The sequence below is a fragment of the Homo sapiens genome, chromosome 2, assembly GCF_000001405.40.
Source record: "Homo sapiens chromosome 2, GRCh38.p14 Primary Assembly".
In the NCBI taxonomy this organism is placed as follows: Eukaryota; Metazoa; Chordata; class Mammalia; order Primates; family Hominidae; genus Homo; species Homo sapiens.
This window is the reverse complement of record NC_000002.12, coordinates 17916655-17934273: the sequence shown is the minus strand read 5'-3', so window position 1 is coordinate 17934273 and position 17619 is coordinate 17916655. Positions and strand designations below refer to the sequence as shown.

General features: G+C 40.2%; 1 protein-coding gene across 4 annotated transcripts in view; it reads right to left on the bottom strand.

Moving 5' to 3' along the window:
* KCNS3 (potassium voltage-gated channel modifier subfamily S member 3) overlaps positions 1316 to 17619 on the bottom strand; it is a 55112-nt gene continuing 38808 nt past the window's right edge. For 3 of the 4 annotated variants that reach the window (NM_001282428.2, NM_002252.5, XM_047444255.1), the window contains exons 2-3: positions 16403 to 16594; positions 1316 to 3324 (exon numbers count right to left, since the gene is read on the bottom strand). In NM_001282428.2, coding sequence (NP_001269357.1) covers positions 1790 to 3265 — 1476 coding nt within the window. In that variant the 5' untranslated portion in view covers positions 3266 to 3324; positions 16403 to 16594 and the 3' untranslated portion in view covers positions 1316 to 1789. Of the gene's footprint in view, positions 3325 to 4616; positions 4988 to 16402; positions 16595 to 17619 lie in introns of all 4 variants that reach the window. The other variant, XM_011532825.2, reaches the window with a different exon arrangement.

Below are 17619 nucleotides of genomic sequence, written 5' to 3'. Positions count from 1 at the left end.
AGGCCCTGGAGTCAGCCTCCTGGGTCCAGAGCCCAACCCCACTACTGACTCTTGAACTTCCGCAAGCCACCTTCCCTGCAAACCTTAGTTTCCTCATCTTAAAATGGGAATAGTATCAAACTTTTGCTTCAAGGGATGTTGTAATAAATAAATGCAATTACACAGTTAGCGTATTATCATATGATTATTGCTGTTCTTGTTACTATTACTACTACTGTTACTATTATTACATAAGGAGTCTTCAGTTACTTCACCACTAATTAGAAAATCTTTGATAAAACAAGATCCCAAATTCTATTGCTGTGCCTCAAAACTATACTTATTCCAATATCAAAAATGCATTTTGGAGAAAAGATTTTTTTTTAATGAGCAGGGGGTAACACACATGCATGTAATAAACCTCCAGATTTAAAAGTGGCCATAAACCCTGTTTAGTTATATCCATCTCCGAAGCCATAGAAACATTAAGAGGAGTGATGAGTCAAAGAGTTACCTATATCTGATAATGCCCTTCTTTCAATGAAATGCATCTACAAACATAACAAATCCATGTGGCTCTTCCACTGGAAAGACTTCAGGTAAAGAATCCATAACCAGCCCCTGGTGGCGTGCGTGACAGTCTCCACACATCTCCAAAATTAACACTTTAGCTAAATTCTCTCCACATGGGATAGAATTGCTCTGCCACTGTCTGAAAATGCGTATGTATGTCTTCTTTCTTTGTGAGAAGTTTCTACATGAGATGCAGAAATTACCATCTCTACGGCTATTGGAAAATGTTGGCTCATTTTATAGCTGCTGGCATAGATTTTTCCAGAGATTTAAGTTTCACTCCTCCGGTCATAATGAATCACATCTGTGTATTTGTACAACATTTCTCCCTTCTTCCATTCACTGAAAGTATCCCTGCCTGTGAATGTGTAGGTTTACTCTGCTCTGCAATATTTTTTAGGTAGTGAGATTTTGTCCTAGCAGTATAAATTAGTATAAAATTCAAAAGATATACTGAAGAAATATTTGTAAGAGTACACGCTTCATTCATATATGCCAATTTTGAGTGTGTCCCAAACACCTACATGTTTAATCAGTTTATGCTGGACAGCGCAATTTAGTCATGGACATGTTCTTCTATCTGCCAACTACCATCAAGTCTACTGAAAAAAGAGCTAGCACATGCTTGGTACATACCTAAAATTCAAAAGCATAAAGAAAGGAAGGGCTCTTGGTACTCCAAAAAGAACATTTTTCTTCCAAACCAATCCTGAACATGCTAAAATGTAGTTACTCAACATAAAAACATACAACCAAGACATTCTCCATACTGAATTAGGAAGTTTATTAGGCTCCTAGTTTCCATGTTTAGAACATGAGCATGGATTTACATGCATTGTCTCATTTTGTGGATCTTACATGCATGTCGTCTCAGTCAGCTGCACCTTTGATTCTACTTGTCAGTAATTTAAAGTTAGCTCAATGTGAGTAAATGACAAACACAGAATGATGCATAAGCTGTAGCCACAAACCCCACCCAATACCATTTATCTTATATTCCAAACTATATCACAACTCTCTCTTGTAAAAAATAAATTTCAGAACAAGGCATTTAATTGACCTCACAGAGAAAAATAAAGACAATTCTATCATTTCAGAATTCAGCAATGAATGTCCAACTATGGCTGAAAGGTACACCCTGAGAATTAAATGATTTTAACGAACCCACTGAGGTTTATAAAGCTGTGTTAACCTAATGTCGGGAAAGGATAAGAGAAACAGGCACAAACACCCCCGCTCATTTTGCTGTGCAATTCTCCAAGGAGGTGGTGTTACAAATGTCCTCATTGTCTTCAATGCTTGAAGCATCTGTGGAGTCAGGATCGCTCACCACAATGCCTACAGAAGAGAGACTGGTAATGAAGGTGTGCATCCGCTGTGCATATATATCCCTAATGTTAAAGTAAGGTAGCTCATGACACTTCTCTGGTGCATCCTCACTGCACTGGTCCACATCAATGTCCTTTTGCTTCTGGTAGTACTTGGAAAACTTGTTGAAGATGATGGTGATGGGAAGGGCCACCACCAAGATGCCACAGATGATGCATGTGCTGGCGATGAGCTTTCCCGCCAAGGTGACCGGGTGGGTGTCTCCATAGCCCACAGTTGTCATGCTGATGGTGGCCCACCACCAGCAGATGGGGATGCTGGTGAGGCTGGATGTGTGGTCATCTTTCTCCACGGAGTAGATAAGCACAGAGAAAATGGAAATGCCCACAGAGAGGAAGAGAAGCAGAAGCCCAACTTCATGGTAGCTGTGTCTCAGTGTGGCACCTAGAGACCGAAGTCCTACCGAGTGCCGGGCAAGCTTTAGAATTCGGAAAATCCTCATAAGCCGTAGGATCTGGACCACCTTGCCCATGTTCTCAATATCCTCACTCTCTTCCTCCTTGGTGTCTACAGCCAACGTGGCATAGAAGGGAATAATAGAGACAAAGTCAATGATGTTCAGAGGGTTTTTCCAGAATTTCTTTTGACAAGGAGCGGCAGCCAGCCGGACGGCAAGCTCCCCGGTGAACCAGGCAATGCACGCGATCTCCACTCCTTCCAGCACCGGATCATCCACTTCTCCATCCTCATTCTGGAACTCCGACATGCTGTGAACGCACATGGCCACGATGGAGGCCAGCACCACGCTCAAGGAGGAGATAGCGATAAGCTTAGCGGACAGGCAGTACGCTGGATTCTCCATTCTAATCCAGATTTTCTTCCGGAGCTGACCAAATCGCAGTGTGTCAAACTTCTCCAGCTCTTTCTCAAACAGAGACGACTCTTCAAACGAGGAGTCGGTACTCACATCATGGCTTTTCTGGTCCCAGTCCTTCTCGTGGTTTTCCTCCTTGCGTTCCTGGTAGCGATTGCTGCAGCAAGAATCAATGAAGAGCTCGTTGATGCCCCAGTACTCGATCTCCTGGCAGAATGAGAATACGCACAGCTCCTCCATGACATGCAGCTTCCCCGTGTAATAAAAATTCAAAACATATCTGAACAAGGAGGGATTCCGATCAAAGTAGTACTCCTTATCGGCCACACTGTAATCATCACACAGCTCCAGAATGGCCTCTTCAGAATGGCAAGTAAGCAGCTTCCCCAGTCTGGTGTGAGGAAACCGCAGGAGGGTGCTTTGGTCAACAGACTGCTTAAAGCCCCCCACATTCAGGTTGACAAGTTCCTCGTCTTGTCCAGGGCGATGGAAAAACTCACCAAACACCATGGTGGATACAGAAGGCAGAGTGCTGGCTGGCAAGGGAGAAGAGGAAGATCAGGCTGCACCTGGAAAGAGCACAAGATGATATTAGCACTCTGTCCTGCCGTGCCCAGCCAAGCTTATTTTTAATCTGCCCTTTCCAGGAGGATGGGCTACATTAAAAGCAAAGCAGGAAATGCAATAAAAATGAATACATTATTATGCATTTTGTTCAGAAGAAAATCAACACAAAACAGATTTTTCCCAAAAAAACTTAGGATTTTGGGAACCCATTTTCTTTAGGAAAGAGGAAAGATGGCAATATAATTTGTATGAACCCTAATTGCCATTTCTCTGTGTGTTAAGCATTCAAACTGTACCTCCCAACCTTGCCCCCAAAAATACAATGCAATTTAGATCACTTACATAATACAAGCGTCTCCAGAGATTCAAGCACAAGCTCTTCATGTTTGGGAAAACTCAATTCAGACATGACAGGCTAGTTGCTGCCAGGCTTGAAGCTCATCCCTTCCAATCCCTAGGGCTTGGTCATGCCCCCAACACACTCATCACAGGGGGCTCAGCTCAGCTCTTACAAAGGATGTGAGTTTCCCTTTGCGTACCAATGTTTTACTCCTTTAAGAGAAAGCCCTACTCCCTGTGTTTGGATGTGGACAATCAAGAGGATATAATTATCTCCCTGTGCTTAAGTACCTTATATCTTAAAGATATCATTACACTTCATGGGATGGTGTTTCAGGAACATCCACATGAAAAGAACCTGACTTGGGAAAACCTCTTTATGGTAATTGCACTATCAGTTTCCTGACACAAACCCGCTCCACTCCCACCTCCTCCTTCCCATCACAGACAGTCCCCACGTGGCCCTAATCTATAATTATCTTTCCATAGATTGTCTATACTGGCTGAGCACGTGGCCTGTTTTTAGTTCTGACACTAATCAGGATACACCAGGTCGCTTTCTCAGAGAGAAAATAACAGCTTTTGATCCTCACCCAATGCAATGACGTTTCCTCAGAACAGATGATACAAATAAAAGGAGACTGTCATATACTGAGTCCCCACCTGATACTACTGGAGGCCTTTACACATTATGTCATTCAGTCCTTCCAACACTATATGGTAGCTGGATAGAAAAATGGGTACTGCTCTCAGCCTCTCTAGGTACATAATAGGTAAATGATGGAGCCAAGATTTAAACCCAGGTTGAATTAATTCCAAAGTCCATGTTCTCTCCACTACATAGACTTCCCCCACCTTCTTCCTTTTTATAATCTAATAATCCAATGTGAAGCATGCTATGCGAGAGGTCAGTCAAGCATCTTTGGGATTACTGAGAAAAAAGCAGTGACCTTACCTGGAGAAGCTTCATAGCAGAGGTTATATGCAGCTCAAAGGTTCAAGTGGAGTCCACCTAATATGGTTTGGCTCTGTGTCCCCACCTAAATCTCATGTTGAATTGTGATCCTGCGTGTTGCAGGTGGAGCCTGGTGGGAGGTGATTGGATCATGGGGGTGGTTTCTAATGGCTTAGCATCATCCCCCAAGCACTGTCTCGTGACAGAGTTCTCATGAGATCTGGCTCTTTCAAAGCGTGTAGCATCTCCCCCTTCACTCTCTCTCTCTCCTGCTCTGCCATGTAAGACATGCTGGCTTCCCTTTCACCTGCTGCCAGGACTGTAAATTTCCTGAGGCCTCCCCAGCCATGCCTCCTGTACAGCCTGCAGAACTGTAAGTCAATTAAATCTTTATAAATTACCCAGTCTCAGGTAGTTCTTTATAGCAGTGTGAGAACAGACTAACACACCACCAAACTGAAAGGAAAAGGACATTCCCACCAGAGGCATCGAAGGGTAGACAGAAGCCAGATTGTGGAGGACCCTGTATATCAGTCCAAAGAATCTGTCAGCAAGACCACTAAAGGGTCTTAATCAACAAGTAGACATAGCTAGGTTTGTGACTGTGACTTAGAAAGCCGCCAATGACAGCAGCGTGAAAGCTGCACGGGGCAAAAGCTGGGACCAAGAAGACAGGGCTGCAACAGAACAGGTTAGGGGTGGCAAGGACATGGACACACACAGTGGCAGTGCATATAAAGAGGAAGTGATAAACTCAGAAGAAGTTTATAAGACAGAATCTACAGGATTTGGTAACTGATTGGGAAAAAAAAAGGGACAAGGAAGCAGAAAGGCCAAAAGAGGATGTGTTTTCTAGTCTGTAAAAGTGGGCAGACAGTAACACCATTAAAGGGAGCAGAAAGGTCAGAAAGGAATCTCTTTCCCCTTATGTTTATGGAAAGGCAAGGTTGTCTGCAAGAGAACAAATTCCTCCTCTGAAAAAAAAAAAGGAAATAATAAAGATTAACATGCAAATAAACAAATGGAGAATAAAATTTAAAAAAAATTCAACAAAGCCATTGGTCATTTAAAACAATCAACGAAATTGACAAATCTTCAACTAGGCTAATCAAGAAAAAATGAAAGTACTTTGGGAGGCCAAGACAGATGGATCATTTGAGGCCAGGAGTTCAAGACCAGCCTGGTGAACATGGCAAAACCCCATCTCTACAAAAAATACAAAAATTAGCTGGGCATGGTGTCATGCACATCTAGTCTCAGCTACTCGAGAGGCTGAGGCATGAGAATCACTTGAACCCAGGAGGGGGAGGCTGCAGTGAGCCGAGATCGCACTACTGCACTCCATCCTCGGTGACAGAGTCAGACTCTGTCTCAAAACTTAAACAAAACAAAGGAAAATTAAAAAATGAGAGAAGATTCAAATTAGCAAAATCAGCAATGAAAGAACAATACCACTATTGACCTTACATAATGAAAAGAACTATAAAGGAATACTATGATCAATCATATGTCCACAAATTAGATAACCTAGATGAAGTGTACAAATTGCTAGTGTCAACAAAAAGGGTCAAACTCTAAAATATTTAAAGAGATTTATTTTGAGCCAAATATGAGTGACCAATGGCCTGTGACATAGCCCTCAGCATATCCTGAGAACATGTACTCAAGGTTGTTGGCCTACAACTTGGCTATATACATTTTAGGGAGACACAAGAAATCAATCAATATATGTAAAATGTACATTGGTTCTGTCCAGAAAGCCCAGAAAACTGGCAGCTGAGGTGGGGGGCTTCCAGGCCATAGGCAGATTCAAAGATTTTCTGATTGGCAATTGGTTGAAAGAGTTAAGTTATTATTGTCTGATATGGTTGGGCTTTGTATCTCCACCCAAATCTCATCTCCAATTGTGATGCCCAAGTGTCAAGAAAGAGAACTGGTGGGAGGTGATTGGATCATGGGGGTGGTTTCCCCATGCTGTTCTTGTAATAGTGAATGAGTTCTCACAAGATTTGATGGTTTTATTAGGGGCTCTTCCCCCTTTGCTCATCTCTCATCTGCCACCATGTAAGACATGCCTGTTCCCCTTCTATCAGGATTGTAAGTTTCCTGAGGCTTCCTCAGCTCTGCAGAACTGTGAGTCAATTAAACATATTTTCTTTATAAATTACACAGTCTTGTGTATGTCTTTATAGCAGTATGGAAATTGACTAATACTATAAATTGGCACCACAGAGAGTGGGGTACTGCTATAAAGATACCCCAAAATGTGGAAGCAACTTTGGAACTGGGTAACAGGCAGAGGCTGGAACAGTTTGGAGGATTCCAAAGAAGACAGGAAGATGTGGAAAAGTTTGGAACTTCCCAGAGACTTGTTGAGTGGTTTTGGCCAAAATGCTGGTAGTGATATGGACAATGAGCCCAGGCTGAAGTGGTCTCAGATGGAGATGAAAAACTGATTGGGACCTGGAACAAACACTCATTCTTGCTATGCTTTAGCAAAGAGACTGGTGGCATTTTCCCCCTGCTGTAGAGATCTGTAGAACTTTGAACTTGAGAGAGATGATTTAGGGTATCTGGTGGAAGAAATTTCTAAGCAACAAAGTGTCCAAGATGTGACCTAGGTGCTCTTAAAAGCATTCTGTTTTATGCATTCACAAAAGATCGTTTGAAATTGGAATTTTTGTTTAAAAGGGAAGCAGAGCATAAAGGTTTGGGAAATTTGGAGCCCGATGATGTGATAGAAAAGAAAAACCCATTTTCTGAGGAGAAATTCAAGCTGGCTGCAGAAATTTGCATAAGTAACCAGGAGCTGAATGTTAACTGCCAAGACAATGGGGAAAATTTCTCCAGGGCATATCAGAGGTCTTGGCAGCAGCCCCTTTCACCACAGGCCTAGAAGCCTGGAGGAAAAAAGTTTTTATGGGCTAGGCCTAGGGCCCCGCTGCTCTGTGCAGCCTTGCAACATGGCACCCAGCATCCCAGACATTTCAGCTCCAGTCATGGCTATAAGGGGCCATGGTACAGCTTGGGCCATGGCTTCAGATGGCGCAAGCCCCAATCCTTGATGACTTCCATGTGGTCTTGGGCCTGCAAGTGGACAGAAGAACTGAGGTTTGGGAACCTCTACCTAGATTTCAGAGGATGTATGGAAATGCCTGGAAGTCCAGGCAGAAGTTTGCTACAGGGGCAGAGCCCTCATGGAGAACCTCTGCTAGGGCAGTGCAGAAAGGAAATGTGGGGTTAGAATCCCACGCAGAGTCCCCATTGGGGCACTGCCAAGTGGAGCTGTGAGAAGAGACACCCACTGTCCTCCTGACCCCAGAATGGTAGATCCACTGACAGCTTGCACTGAGCACCTGGAAAAGCCACAGACACTCAACACCAGTCCATGAAAGCAGCTGGGAGGAGGGCTGTACCTTGCAAAGCCATAGGGGTGGAGCTGCCCAAGACCATGGGAGCCCACTTCTTGCATCACTGTGACCTGGATGTGAGGCATGGAGTAAAAGGAGATCATTTAGGAGCTTTAAGACTTAATGGCTCCCCTGATGGGTTTCAGACTTGCCCCTTTGGGGCCAATTTGTTTGGGGGCCAAAACAATCCTTTGCTTTGGCCTATTTCTCCCATTTGGAATGGAAGCATTTATCCAATGCCTGTACCCCCATTGTATCTTGGTAGTAACTAATTTGCTTTTGATTTTAGAGGCTCCTAGGTAGAAGGGACTTGCCTTGTCTCGGATGAAACTTTGGACTTGGACTTTTGAATTAATGTTGAAATGAGTTAAGACTTTGGGTGACTGTTGGGAAGGCATGATTGGTTTTAAAACATGAGGACATGAGATTTGGGAGGGGCCAGAGGTAGAATGATATGGTCTGGCTTTGTGTCCCCACCCAAATCTCATGTTGAATTGTAATCCCCACGTGTCAAGGGAGCGACCTGGTAAGAGGTAACTGGATCATGGGGGCAGTTTCCCCCACGCTGTTCTCATGATAGTGAGTGAGTTCTCACAAGGTCTGATGGTTGATAAAAAGCTCTTTTCCCTTCTCTCGCCACTCTCTCTTGCCTGCCACCATGTAAGACGTGCCTCTTCCCCTTCCACCATGATTGTAAGTTTCCTGAGACCCCCTAGCCCTGCGGAACTGTGAGTCAATTAAATCTCTTTTCTTTCTAAATTACCCAGTCGGGTATGTCTTTATAGCAGCGTGAAAACAGATTAATACATTGTCTAAAGACTTAGAATCAATAGGAATGTCTGGGTTAAGATAAGCAGTTGTGAAGACCAAGGTTTTATCATGCAGATGAAGCCTCCAGATAGCAACTTCAGAGAGAATAGACAGTAAATGTTTCTTATCAGAATTAAAGAGACTGCACTATCAGTCCTAAGGTTCATGTTGATGTTGACGCTGGTAAGCTTTTCCTGAATTCCAAAAAAGAGGAGGGTATAATGAAGCATGTCTTACCTCTCCTTCTCATCATGGTCTGAACTCATTTTTCAGGTTAATTTGGGAATGACGTTGGCCTAGAGGAGGGGTCCATTCAGATAGTCAAGAGGGCTTAGAATTTTATTTTTAGTTTACACTAGAAAGAGATGATCTACACAAACTAACTCAAGAAGAAAAAGGAAATCTGAATAAACCTATTTATTAACAAGTAAAGATACAGAATTTGCAATTTTAAAAATTTTCATATGGAAAGCTCATGTACAGATAGCTTTGCTGGTGAATTTTACCACAATCACCACCAATCTTCCACAAACCCTCCCAAAAATTAGAAGAGAAAGGCATACTTCCCAGCTCCTTCTATGAAGCTAGTATTCTCCTAATACCAAAACTAGAAAAAGACATCACAAGAAAACTACAGGGAGCATCCCTTATGAATACAGATGAATAAATCCTCAACAAAACATCAGCAAACCAAATCCAGCAACATATAAAAAGAATTATATTACCATGAGTAGTGGGATTTATCTCAGGAATTTAAGGTTAACTTAACGTGTAAATCAATCAAGGTAATATAAATACTAAAGAAATAATGAAAATGACATTATCATCTCAAAAGATGCAGAAAAAGCATTTGAAAAATCTAGCACTCTTTCATGATTAAAAACAAAAACTCAAAAACTAAGAATAGAACAGAATTTCTCCAATTTGATAAAGAGCATCTATGAAAAACCCACAGCTAAAAACATATTTAATGAAAAAAGACTAAAAGCATTTCTCTTAAGATCAGGAACAAAACATGAATGTCCAATCCCACCACTTTTATTCAACATTGTACTGGAAGTTCTAGTCAGGGAAATTAGGCAAAGAAAAGAAAGAAAATGCATCCAGACTGAAAAGGAAAAGTTAACCTACTTCTATTTGCAGATGACATGATCTTGTATATAGAAAATCCTATGGAATAGATATACAAAAAAATTAGAACTAATAAATAAGTTCAGCAATTTTGCAGGATACTAGATTGATATACAAAAAAACTGTATCTCTATATACTAGCAATAATACAAATATGAAATTAAGAAAACAATTATATTTTCAATAGCATCCAGAAAAATAAAATATTTAGAAATAAATTTAACAAAAGTGGCATAAACCTGTAAAATGAAAACTACACAATGTTGTTGAAAAAATTATGGAAGAAATAAATGAATAGAAAGACACCCAATGTTCACGGATTGAAAGATTTATTATTGTTAAATGGCAATACCCTCCAAATTAATTCATAGATTAAATACAATTCCTATAAAAATCCTAGCTGCCTTTTTTCAGAAATTGACAAATTGATTCCAAAATTCTAAAACTTCAGAAATTGACAAATTGATTCTTGACACACTTGTCAAAAATCAATCAATAAACTGAAAAATAAGCCCATATGGGCTTTTTGATTGATTTTTGACAAGTGTGTCAAGACAATTCAACAGGGGTAAGAAGAGTCTTTTCGATAAATAGTATTGGAACAGCTGGATAGCCACATGCAAAAAAATCTAAATTGGATATGTATCCCACACTATATACAAAAATTAACTTTAAATACATCAAAGGCCTGAATGTAGGTGTTAAAATTATAAAACTCTTAGAAAAAAAATTAACATAAATTTTCATGACCTTGAGTTAGGGAATGGCTTCTTAGCTATAACACTAAAATTACAGAAAAATAAAGAAAAAATAGTTAAATTGACTTTATCAAAATGTAAAATGCACTTCAAAGGACACTATCAATTCAAAGGACAAGTATCAAGAAAATGAAGACAACTCACAAAATAGAAGAAAATATTTGCAAATCATATATCTGATAAGGATATAGTATCCAGAATAAAGAACTCTTACAACTCAATAATAAAAAGACAAATAAACTCCTTTAAAATGGGCAAATAATTTTGATAGACATTTCTATGAAAACATATAAATGGCCAAAAGGTACTTGAAAAGATGCTCAACATCATTAGACATTAGGAAAATGCAAATCAAAATTACAATGAGACACCACTTCATACCAGTATGATGGCTATAGTCAAAAAGTAATAATAATGCAAATGTTGTATTATGATACATCAGGTGTTGGCAGGGATGTGGAGAAAGTGGAACCCTTGTGTGTCATTGTAAGCAATGTAAAATAGTACAGCCACTTGAGAAAGCAGTTTAAGCCCATTCCTCAAAAAGTTAAACAGGTTTACCATATGACCCAGCAATTCCATTCCTAGGTATAGTCCCAAGAGAACTGAAAACATATGTTCAAACAAAAACTGTATGTAATGTTCGTAGCAGCATTATTCATAATAGCGAAAAAGGGGAGATAATCTAAATGTCCATCAAGGAATGAAGTTCTGACAGACTACAACCTGGATCAACTTTGAAAACTTATGCTAATGAAAAAGGTCTACTTAAAAAAAGACAATAAAAGATCATATATTGTATTATTCCATTTATATGAAATATCCATAATAGTCAAAACTATAGAAACAGAAAGTAGATTAGTGGTTGCTGGGGGCTGGGGGGAGGGGAGATGGGTACTATTAATGGATTTGGGTTTCCTTTGAGGATGATAAATATGTCTTGGAATTAGAAAGTTGTACAGTCATGAATATACCAAGAACCACTGCATTAAACCCATTTTTAAAAAGGTAGATTTTGCTGTATTCAAAGCATATCTCAATAATACTGTCATTTAAAAAGGGATTCCATCCCAGCACTTTGGGTGGCCAAGGCAGGAGGATCACTTGAGCCCAGGAGTTTGAGACCAGCCTTGACAACACAGTGAGACTCTATTTCTATTTATCATTTTTTAAAATTATAATAAAAATAAGTGAATAAATAGGGATTCCAGCTAATAAGTAAAAAAAGAAATAATAGAACTCAAATCTCATAATAAAATAATAGATCTAGGCAATGATAATCAATGGCTGATAAAATCCGGATAAAAAGCTGATGGGGAATTTCATAACAGAGATCAGAGTTACAATATTTGAACCCACTAATCAAGCCTAATATAATAAAATAACTAGATTTTACTGAACAAAATAAATATTTTAGAGGAATATGGTCAATAACACCACAGGGGTGCAATCAGCAAAATCAAGACTGGGAAACCATACAGGACAAATGACACAGATCAAATAAGAGGCATATCAAACAAAGCCAGTGTACAGACTTTGTACAGATCCTGATTCTAACCAGCCAAATGCTTAATATATGTATATGTATTTATATATATATATATATATATATATATATATATATATATATATACACACACACACACATATATATGAAAATCAGGGACATTTGAAAACTGATATGGTCTGGCTCTGTGTCCCCACCCAAATCTCACGTCAAATTGTAATCCCCAAGTGTCAGGGGAGGGGCCTGGTGGGAGGTGATTGAATCATGGGGGCAGACTTCCCCTTGCTTTTTTCATGATTGTTAGTGAGCTCTCACAAGATCTGGTTGTTTGAAAATGTGTAGCATCTCCCACTTCACTCTCTCTCGCTCTCCTGCTTCACTATGGTAAGATGTGCTTGCTTCCCCTTTGCCTTCTGCCATGATTTTAAGTTTCCTGAGGCTTTCCCAGCCATGCGGAACTCTTAATCAATTAAACCTCTTTCCCTTATAAATTATTCAGTCTCACGTAGTTCTTTATAGCAATGTGAGAATGAACTAGTACAAAAACCAACTAGATACTTGATATTATAAAAAAAATCATTGTTAATTTTTCAGTGTCCCAATAGTAATATAATTATGTTCTTAAAAGAAAACCCTTATCTTTTGGAAATACATACTAAAATATTTATTGATAAAATTACACAACATTGGGGATTGATTTCATAATAATACATGGAAAGGCAGGAGCTCTGATCATACAAGATGGCTATGAGTTAATCACTGTTGCAGCGGGTCATGGATAGGCACAAAAGAGTTTAATGTATTATTTTATTTTTGTACATGTTAAAATTCTCCATTAAAAATGTTTTAAGAAAAATGTGCTAAGCATCTTTTTTCAGGCTATGCACTGTGGTAAGTGCTTTCATATACACTATTATTCACTCTTTTATTCTCAACAACTGGTGCAGTACATAGGCACTAGCAGGCAATGAGTACATGTAACTGAATGAATGAATCATTGTCTTTAATTCTCTAACAGCCCTAAGTCATAGACCTTAGACTCCCGTGTTGCAAATGGGGACATCTGAGGCTCAGAATTTGCCCAACGTTGTCCACCTTTTATGCGGCAGACTCTTTCCACAATGCCTCAAATATGAGTATTTAAAGTTTATTTTTTTAAGTGGGAGGAGGTAGAGACTGGCTGATGTTCTCATTTGCATATTATGTCAGCCATACTGTAAGGAGATTGACATTCACATGCTGAAGACACATGGGGTCTAAAATCAGGCACATCTGAGGGTACAGTGGCATTGGCCACAAAGTAGAAGACCCAACTGCTATTTTCATTCTCTTCTTAAAGCTAAACTTAGCTTCACTGTATTGATTCTCCTCCCTACTATCAACCCACATCACTCATGGTGAGAACACTATATATACAGTATTTGACCACCTTGTCCCTCTTGGTGTTTATAAGATTGAAAAGAAGAAGAATATGTCAAAAATCCAAGAAACTCCCTGGCAGCGTAAAATGAAAACTACCATTGATTCAGTTGTCTCCAACTGGCACCCTGTAAAGCTTTTTCAAAGCCATTAACCTTTTATTCGCCTCCTCTTGGTCCACTTCCTGCTCTTGTTGCTTCATGCTCTCAAACTCACCTAAGAAAATATTCTCAAAATTGTGTCTTTTCAAGGCTGACTCATACACATATACACAAGCTCATGGCTGTCTCTGATAATGCACCTGCTTTGCTCAGAAAAGTAATGAAAGTATTATAATACAAGCCAATTTGTCTTACTGGACAGAACTGCTTTTTGGTATCAATTTCATAAAAGTAAATAAAAACCCAGATTTGTTTTTCCTTCTTGTTTTGTAGATGTCCAAAAATCTACATTAATCCTTTTTCATCAAAGAAAAAAATACACCATTTTCAGCATTTAACACTGCCTTCTTTTTGGAACATTCTTCTAAGAGTTTTCTTTTATTCTATTAAATTTAAAAAGAAAGCTCATTTTGATTTTTTTAAAGAGTAGGTCATGCTAAATTCAATTTCTGGTCATGCCATGTGGGGATATACAAAATGGAAAAACCAAGCAAACGTAAACAGAATTGGAAACCTAAACTCAATCCATACCCATGTCTCCTCCTTACCAACCTCCTACCAGGTGCCTCCCTGGTAAGAGTCTTCTCTTACAGCATTGTCTGAGCATGGCGAGGATCCTACATGGAGCCAACACCTCCAGTAGCTTTCCAAGTGGTGCAGCCCAGTCCACTGAGGAAGGCTTGCTGTAAAGCGTGAATCCCACCGGCCAAACAGTCAGGCAAGAAAACTCCCTGCCAGGTCTGTTCTGCGCTGGACATGTTCTGACAGCATGGGCCACAGTTGGACAACACATGAATGACACAGGTCCATACAATTTGCAGGGTCCCAGGGTGCTCTATTCCAGAGCATTCATAAACTGAATGCAACGTTTCAATGTTGAACTTAACAAAACAAAAACAGCATGTCCTCTTATTCATGCTGAATTATCAGCATCAACTAGCAAAAAAGAGGGAAAGACTAGGATTCTGAAAACTTGTGTCTGAGCTGCCTCTTCTTATCTGCATGACCTTGGGCAGGTGAAGTCTTCATCTATAGAAGGAGTTTATAAACCCACCTTGAGGATAAAATAACAAATGTAAAAGTCTTTTGAAAACATAAAGCACAAGCCACATGTAAAACTGTGTTCCAAAAATAAAAGACTGATATAATGGTATTTCTACCTTCCCCCACTTCCTTCCCCTATTCCCTTCCCTTCTCTTACTCCCACCAACTAGTACAATCACATTAAAGTTGTACTCACTCCCTCTGGATCTGTATTTAGTGTGACTGCTACTCTCTGGAAACTCCAGGGATCTCTGTAATTCACACAGCTCATCTCCAAGCAGAGAGCTGCTCAGAAGGCTGAGTGATTTAGTGAGCCAAACAACCAGAAAGCTGTCCTCTTTGTAAAAAGCAAAGAATCGTAGATGATAGCTTTTCAAACAGAAACAGGAAAAACCTGGACTTTACCACAAGAGGGGCCCCTAGCCCTGCTGTAAATACTCCATCACATCTCCAGCTGAGCCAGGTTGCTTGGAATCAAGCACATACAGAGGTCTGTCATGGGAAAGCTCTGCTGCCCAGGGGAGGGAGTTTTGGAGAATTTGGGCCCAGGCCAAATTAATGGTTCTCTCTTCTCTACCCTCTCCCATAGCCCATTTGTGTACACCTTGATTTTAGCACATATCACAAGGCATTATGATGTTATCTACAATTCTCCTTATTCCCCACAAGTCTGATTGTTGCTCACTCTAGACTCCAAGCTTCGCTGTGGAAGGGACCATGTATTATCCTCTTACAGCTATAGCCCCTTATGCTAAGTGCTGCCCACAATCTAGTAAAAGATACTTGCTTTTATCTGGAGGAATTAACAAAGGCTATTACTACTTTTGTCAAAGAGCTAGCAGAATGATCTAGAACAGGCATGGCAAAATTAAATACCTCCGGTGACCAAACAAGTCAAACAAATGAGATGGTTGGGGATGGTGGTGAACTGTCCCCACTTGTCTAAGAGGCAGAGGCTACTCAGCACTAGAATCCTTTTTAGGAACAGAGGCCCAGTATAGACATATCATTCCGTCTTCCCAGGAGAACCTGGAAACCCTGATCCTTATGTGGAATATCTCAAGTTTAGTTAGAATTGATCCAACATGTTTGAAGCATGATGTGGCTCAAACAAAGATGTGCCTCTGGCCCAGGTACATCTGATGAGCTACCCAGTCTGTGACCTGAGCCAGACTCTGACCAATTCCAGTCCACAACACACATTTTAAGCCAGACTGGCTAACATGAACACAAATGGAACCTAGTTACAATAACAGTAGTGTCATTCTCTCAAGTCTGAACTATAAATGTCAAAAAAGGGAGAGGGAGAAAATGTGAACCACAGCATTTTCTAAAGTTGGCCAGTGGTGTCCCTTAATATAACTCCAATCTAATCCTTTGAGACCAACACTTTTCTTCCCATAGTCATCTGTCCCAACTGCCCAGTGGATTTGACCATCAGAAGTGTCTAACTTTCATCTTTCTCACTACACTGTAACGCTCATTCTCATCCTCCTTTGATAAATAATGGGTGCTTGAGAAAATAAGATAGAATGGCAACTCTTACCCTTGAGGTGGAGATGCCACACGCTCTGCCTTCATCCTGCCCGGTGGGACGTCCATCATCATCCAAGAAGCTCTGCCCTTCTCAGCACACTGGAATGTGTGGTGCACATAGGCATTTGGTGGCCAAAAAGAAGGGAAGAATCCTGTTCTCTGGTTGTACAGGCCAAAGCAATCACTGGAAAATCACTCTCACCTGCAGAAAAAACCATCAGCCAAGCTGTAACTGCAAGGAAGAAATACACCCAAGACATTCTACCTCAGGATCAACACTCTGGGCACTTTGCTGATGAGACTCAAATCTGAAAGCCCCACCTAATTCTCAGCAAGTGGGGGGTGGTCTCTTCCCCCTGTGGAACCATCACTGCCATTGGACATGTGCTAGGTTTAAGGATCCTCAGAACTCAACAGTAGTGAAAGTCTTAGGATTCCTCTACTGACAGAGGCCACTAAAACATCTAAAGATAAAACCAGGCACTAGAATTAGGGCTGCAGTTACCTACTCCCACATGGTTTCTTATAGAAGTGTTATTCTCCCAGCTAATTCATCGAGATATACTTGTAAGCTTCTAAATGAACGCATTCTAATCCATTTCAAAATCTACCTTCTGGGTATTACTGCTATAATAGAATTAACACTGCTGCTCTAATTTGAAATCAATAGATTTCAAAGGCTGGCCAAATTCAATTTTGCTTTATTTGCCCATTATTATATTTCACAGATCAGAAATGACACAGGTGCAATCACAGTTTATGTGTGTGGTTATGTATATGAAGTGTGTGTTGGGGGGATGTTTTAAGTTTCTGTCACAACAAATAAAAAGCCAAATTTCAGTTTCTCTCTCTGAATAAATTTTAAAAGGCAAAAAAAATCCAGTTTCCACCCAGGTAAGCCTTGCCTCATGCTGATGCATTCCCATACATTGGTACTAGCTTCTAAGCATCCATCCATTGATTTTCATGTTTTTCAATCCACACCAGGTCCAAAAGGGGGAGGGAAAAAAAAGAAGAAGAAGAAAATATTGATTCTGATAAAAAAAAAAAAAAGTGCCTCTGGCTAGGCCAGTGATTAAACAAACATTCACTGTGGTTTATGATCTGCTGGGCATTATCTTAGGCACTGGGATTATAAACCAGATGCAGTGCCTGCCCCCAGTCCCTCAAGAGCTCTCAGGCCCAAAACCAAATAAACAAGTGAATAGCATCCTAACAACATCAAGG